We start from the raw sequence: 6797 nt of genomic DNA, 5'->3' as shown, positions 1-6797 counted from the left end.
CTAATGGTAACTTTTTTTGGCCTATCAAGAGTGTGGCCTTGGGATAAACTTAATTAATATCCAGGTTTTACCTGTTCTAGTAGTTTCAGGGTGCTTTGAGGAACTGAGATGTCCATCTCACTGGACCCAGGAGCAGTACAGAAGTAGTATTAAAGATTAAACAGATAAATATGCAAACTAGACTATATATACACATGTACATTTCTTATATATAAGATAGAGATATAGTTACAAACGTATATACACACATATATTACATACTTTTTTTCAAGTATTGAGTGATATAGAGTCAGAGAATAAAAGTCTATAGAACTAATACTGGCATAATCAATTACCCAGCTATTTATGCACCTGGCATCCAGATGACCCTCTGAAGCAGCATTGTGAGCAGAATGTCTTCAACAGCTGGCACAGGTAATGTTACAGAAAAATAATGCATAAGGCTATAAATAATGTACCTTCATATGGCTAGGTACAAATCTAGAGCATGAGGTAGAGAAGCAACTTTTTCAGTGGAGGGGATGGAGGGGGTATGGAGACATCAGTAAAGAGAGTCTTCTTCCTTCTTTATTAGACAGCTAAGTTTACTTGCATATTCTAGAACTTCAACAAAAGAATAAATCTCTTAATTTGTAACAAACTCTATCACAGCAGTATCTGAAGTTGGTGCAAATTCTATAAATTCCAACTTCTGTTTATACAGGCTTTTTACCTGAGAGACAATATAATGAGCTGCTTAAGAGAGCTTAAGAGTCAGACACAGGCTTTATCCTTGACTCCATCAAGCAGGTAAATTTTGTGACTTTTAGGAGCCTGCTTCTTTAGTAGTAAAAGGATGAAATACATCTACTTCACATGGCTGCTCTGTTGATTGAATTAATGAGTCAAGAAACACAAAGTAGTTTTGCTTAATAAAAGTTAGTAATTATTGCATCATTAATCATTGCAAGGTAATTCAAGTTGCCAGCCTGCCTGTTACCCACGTCCTCTACCTTTTCCAAGCACAGACATGCGACAATATATTGCAAGACAAAAGTCATGGAGAATCAACTGATAAGTTTTTAATGCTTGTATTTATGCTGAAATATAAGCACTAAATAATCATTTAATAAAATCATTAAATCATAAAAAAGCATTGTCATTTTTATGCTGAAAGTGAACAGGAGGTTTGTGGGACAGAGATCAGAGTTATTATAACTTATAACCACCACATTAATTTCCAATGCCTGGTGCTCCCCAGGTGAAAACATGAATGTCCGAGTCAGACCTGCACATACAGGGGTCTGTTCTGCAGGAGAACTACCCTGAAATTAAATTCTGGTGTTTATGCAGGTTACATGCTGCCCCTCTTCTCTTGAGAGAGGGAGTAAAACCTTTCTCTAGTAATTTGCATTCCATTGCAATATAAATGACTGGCTGCCTGGCTCCAGGTTTCACTTCCCTTTGAAATGTAAACACTAGGGAAATTGCTCTCTGAGATGTCTAGCTTTTCAACCACCCCTTAACTTCCAAGGCTCCTCCTTTAACCCAAGTGTCAGCAACATTTTCTCAGACAACCCTTTGTAGAAATGTTCAAATATTCACTTGCTGATGATAATCATTTCTTTTTGAAATGGCTAGCCATTCACATGATAATCTAAAATTCATCCCTTCCACTTTGCCAACATTGCTCTGACTGAAATTGGGCCAGTGAGCAGTTTTTATCTTTGTTTACTTGATTTCAGAGTCGTTCTCCAGGTACCACAAGCTGAAAAGTCAGAAAATCCACATTTTCTTAATTGATGGATATTTGGGTTGGTTCCAAGTCTTTGCTATTGTGAATAATGCCGCAATAAACATACATCTGCATATGTCTTTACAGCAGCATGATTTATAATCCTTTGGGTATATGCCCAGTAATAGGATGGCTGGGTCAAATGGTATTTCTAGTTCTAGATCCTTGAGGAATCGCCACACTGTCTTCCACAATGGTTGAACTAGTTTACAGTCCCACCAACTGTGTAAAAGTGTTCCTGTTTCTTCACATCCTCTCCAGCACCTGTTGTTTCCTGACTTTTTAATGATTGCTATTCTAACTGGTCTGAGATGGTATCTCATTGTGGTTTTGATTTGTTTTGCTTTCTGCTGTGACACAGCAGCACTGAGTTCAATGTAAAGTCTCCCAGTTTCTGCACTCTCCTTCCCCAAGTGTGCAGACTCTCGGTGCCACATGGCTGCTACTGGGGGCACGGAGGAGGGGTGGCATCAGTGATTCAAGACTATCTCTCTCACTCTTTTTAATGCCTCCTCCACTGATATGAAGTAAAAACCTGGTACTGCAATTGTGGTGCTGTCTTTCTGTGTGCAGATAGTAGTTAAAATCTGGTGTTCCTGTAGGGGGAGGGGGAGAAATGGTATAGGCTTCTATTCTGCCATCTCGCTCTACCTTCTGCAATATATTTTTTTAATGAAAAAATGAGTTGTAAAGTCCAAGGACCTCATTTAATCCCAGAATTCTACTATCTTTCTGGTTTTCATTTTTATCTTACCCTCTCATATCTTTTTATTCCTTTCCTTCCCAGATTTAACTGAAAGTTCCAAATAATTTTCCTTTTATTATACAGAAAAATATCCCACTAGTTACTCCCTTAGCCATTCACTTTATTTTTTTCATAAGTTATTGGGGTACAGGTGGTATTTGGTTACATGAGTAAGTTCTTTAGTAGAGATTTGTGAGATTTTGGTTCACCCATCACCCAATCAGGATACACCGCACCGTATTTGTAGTCTTTTATCCCTCACCTCACTCCCACTCTTCCCCCCAATTCCCCAAAGTCCATTTTATCATTCTTATGCCTTTGTGTCCTTAGAGCTTAGCTCCCACATATCATTGAGAACATACGATGTTTGCTTTTCCATTCCTGAATTACTTCACTTAGAATAATAGTATCTACCCAGGAGAGCAGAAGTCATTATGTGAAAAAGATACTTGCACACACATGTTTATAGCAGCACAATTCACAAATGAAAAATCATGAAACCAGCCCAAATGCCCATCAATCAACAAGTGACTAAACAAACTGTGGTATATATAGTGGAATATGACTCAGGCATAAAAACCCATTCACTTTAGATGAATCTCTTCCTCTGGTCAAGTCCCTCACCAGGTGGTAAGAAATCTGCAGGCCCACTGGGATGTGCCCACCAGGAGTCAGCAGTCTTCCTTTAGAAAATGCATTTTTAAATATACATCTCTTGGCCATTTGTGTGTGTGTATTAGTCCATTTTCGCACTTCTATAAAGATACTACCTGAGACTGGGTAATTTAGAACAAAAGAGGTTTAATTCACTCACAGTTCTGGATGGCTGAGGAGGCCTCAAGAAACTTATAATCATGGCAGAAGGTGAAGGGGAAGCAAGGCACGTCTTACATGGCAGCAGGAGAAAGGGAGAATGGGGAAGTGCCAGATACTTATCACACAACCAGATCACATGATAACTCATTCACTATTATGAGAACAGCATAGGGGAAATCTGCCTCCATGATTCAATCACCTCCCACCACACCCCTCCCTCAACACTTGGAGATTACAATTTGAGATGAGATTTATGTGGGGACACAGAGCCAAACCATATCAGTGTGTCTTCCTTGAGAAATATCTATTCAAATCCTTTGTCCACTTTGTAATCAGGTTGTTTCTTTACATATTTTGGCTATTAACCCCCTATCGGATGTATGGTTTCCAATCTCCCATTTTGTATGTTGTTTTTGTTTCAACTTGGTTGTTGATTGTTTCCTTGGCTTTGAAGAAGCTTTTTAGTTGGAATTCTATTTGTCTATTTTTGCTATTGTTGTCTGTTTTTTGGGGTTCATATCCAAAAAATTATTGCCCAGACTAATGTTGTGGAGGTTTTTCCTGTTGTTTTCCTCTAGTATTGGTTGGTGCAAAAGGGGTTTCAGTTTATGCTATTACATTTAATGGCAAAACCTGCAATTACTTTTGCACCAACATAATAGTTTTATAGTTTTTATGCTTATGTTAAAATCTTTATAACATTTTGAGTGACTTTTGTGTATAGTGTAAGATATGGGTCTAATTTTATTCTTCTGCCTGTAGATATTCAATTGCTCAACCCCATTTATTGAAAAGACTGTCCTTTCCACATTCTGTGTTTTGGCACCTTTCTCAAAAATCAATTAATAATAAATGCATTTATTCCTGGGCCCCTTATTCTGTTAGTTTATTCTGGAATAGGCCTATAGTCTGAGTCCACAAGGTTTTACCTGGTAAAGAGGCAGGATTCTGAGTCTGTGGGGGCAAGTCTGGATTCTGGGTCTGCAGGGGTGGACTTGAAATCTCAGTCCATGGGGTCCCTGGCACCAGGATCTAATGAGGTGGGTCTGGACCCTGCGTCTGCTGGAGTAGGTCTACACCCTGGAGCCTGGGACCCTGAGACTAGTCTGGAGCTTGGGGACAGCCTAGTGTTGGGGCTGACACAGAGCCTAGGTATACAAGGGCTGGTCTGGAACCTAGGATTATGGGCACTGGCCTGATGCCTGGAGCCGCTGGGGCTAACCTGAAGGCTGAAGCCATGGAAACCAGACTGGAGCCTGAGTCCACTGGCATAGAGGTTGTGTGTGCAGGTGCTGGCATGGAGACTAGGTTCTGGAGGGCTGACCTGGGTCCTGGGACATCATGGGCAGGCCTAGGACCTGGTACACAATAATGATCCTGGAGCCTGGGCCTGGGGCAGCTGGTCCAGTGCTAGGGTCTACTTGGGCAAGCTGAGATTTTGGGTCTGCTGGAGTGTGGGGTCACAGAGAATGATCTGGAAGATGGGGCTGAAGAGACCAGCCTGGCCCTTGGCAGGCCTTGAGCCTGTGTCTATAGTACCTGCCTGATATTTGAGGCCACGGGTGCTGACCTGGCACTGGGTTTGGCCAAAGTGCTGGATGGGCCTGCATTTTGTATTTACAGGGACCAGCCAGGAGGCTGGGTATCTGGGTGTTGGTCTTATGTCTAGGGCTTTGGGAATTGGTCTGATGCCAGGAGTAATTCATAGCTTGAGGTTTCTGAGATCAACTTGGTGGTGGGGCAGTGAGAGACTGAGTTTGCCCAGCAGACCAAGGACTCATCATGGCACTGAAGGCTCAGTTTGTGGCATGGGGGCCTTCCCAGTGCTGGGTTTTACTGCAACGGGACCAGTGTTGGGATACAAGGCAAGGTCCAGTGCTTATTTTCTCTCTCCTTTCCCCACATGGAAGTTATGTACCTCCACACTGTGCTGTGTGGGGTTGGGGGGAAGGGTGACAGGGATAATATAAAACTATGCCTTCCTACACACTTTAATGCATGTTTTCTTATTTCTGTGCAACACCCAGGTGCTATAATCCCTCACCTTGTTTCTTTAGTTCCTGTGAAGTTATTTTTGTGCATAGAGAGTTGTTTGAATTGTTGTTTCTGTAACAGAATAAGCATTGGAAAGTCCTATTCCACATCTTGTTGACATCCCCACTCTACTATTTAAAATATTTAGACATAAGAAGGTATGTAGGTGTCCATTTGTACTCTTGATCTGGGACCTGCAAATGTTAGGCTCCTCTTGTTCTTAAGCATGGGCCCCATAACACTTAACTCTTAGGAGTAGCAGGGAGACTTACTTTCTACCCCAAGAACTTTCCAAAGTTTTATTTTGCATTTTTATTTCAAACAAGAACATTTTTGTGCCTACTAGGATTCCTGGTATTAGCTTTTAAGTAATAAGCTATTTTACAACATTTTTATACAAGGAAGACTCAAAACTGAAACATGGGCTATAAAGCTCTGTGTACTTTGTTACCTATACAATTTACCGTCCTGTCTTCTCATAACCTGATTTTTACTACACGGGTCATACTGGGCATTGTTCAGTTCCCTTGACAGCGCATGGTCTTGCCTGCCACAGGGCTTTTGACTATGCTGCCATTGCTATTTAAAGTGCCCCCCCTCCTTTGTTTATCCTAGCCAAATCCACCCATACTTAAGGTATTTGCTTTAATATAATCCTCTTGGGAAATCCTCTGTGGGTAGGTTAAGGCTTGTTCTTGTTTCCTTCTCCCTTGTTCCGTATATTCCCATTAAACTTAACTCCACAATTAATTACTGTCTGCTCCTTCCACTATATGAGTAAATCCACATCTGTTTGTGTATCCATTTATTTCTAGTTCCTAGAGTAATGCTTGCCACGTAAGACACCTTTAATAAATATGTGTTGACAGACCTGCTAGCAATTCAATTTTTGCAAATTTATATAACAAAGACTATATCTCTATAGTCTAGTAATATGTGAAAGGCTGCTGTGCAGAACTGTTTAATAATAATTATATACTTCAACTCTGAAATTTTTTGTTAAGTCATTCCATGCTGCAACAAGTTATTATTTGAGAATTTTAAACTCATGAAGTCCTGCAGTGAGTTTGTTTCACAATATTATCTTCACTTCAAGACAGTTTTGACTTCCCCATCTCAAATGTTTCAGTACCATGTGTTTGTGCATTAAAAAAACCTGTTATTCAAAGACACACTGTGGGGCTGAAGACCAAATTTGTCCTTTCTATATTATCTTTCCCTGACTTTAGCTTCATGTACTATTTCATGTACATGAATAGTACATGAAGGAATAATTTCCTTCAAATCTGTGATCCATTTTGCATAATCTTCATACTGAGTTAAAATAAAATCTTGTTTCCAAGGAGTTTAATAGGTGGCTAAAATATAATTGGCTAAATTTGCTGGCATCAACATCCCAGGAATGTCTGCCCCATCTGTGGGGAATGA

General features: G+C 40.3%; 2 annotated features.

Annotated features, from left to right (window-relative positions):
* Positions 4121-4633: an enhancer, noted in NCBI's record as "H3K27ac-H3K4me1 hESC enhancer chr12:60265569-60266081 (GRCh37/hg19 assembly coordinates)". NCBI's record gives its function as "activates a minimal SCP1, AML or CMV promoter by ChIP-STARR-seq in naive H9 embryonic stem cells {active_cell/tissue: H9 hESC(naive)}" and the evidence as "EXISTENCE:reporter gene assay evidence [ECO:0000049][PMID:30033119]".
* Positions 4634-5148: an enhancer, noted in NCBI's record as "H3K27ac-H3K4me1 hESC enhancer chr12:60265054-60265568 (GRCh37/hg19 assembly coordinates)". NCBI's record gives its function as "activates a minimal SCP1, AML or CMV promoter by ChIP-STARR-seq in naive H9 embryonic stem cells {active_cell/tissue: H9 hESC(naive)}" and the evidence as "EXISTENCE:reporter gene assay evidence [ECO:0000049][PMID:30033119]".

The sequence above is a fragment of the Homo sapiens genome, chromosome 12 (genome assembly GCF_000001405.40).
Source record: "Homo sapiens chromosome 12, GRCh38.p14 Primary Assembly".
NCBI classification, from domain to species: Eukaryota; Metazoa; Chordata; class Mammalia; order Primates; family Hominidae; genus Homo; species Homo sapiens.
Note: the sequence above shows the minus strand (reverse complement) of the source record. Positions and strands in the feature narration are given on the sequence as shown.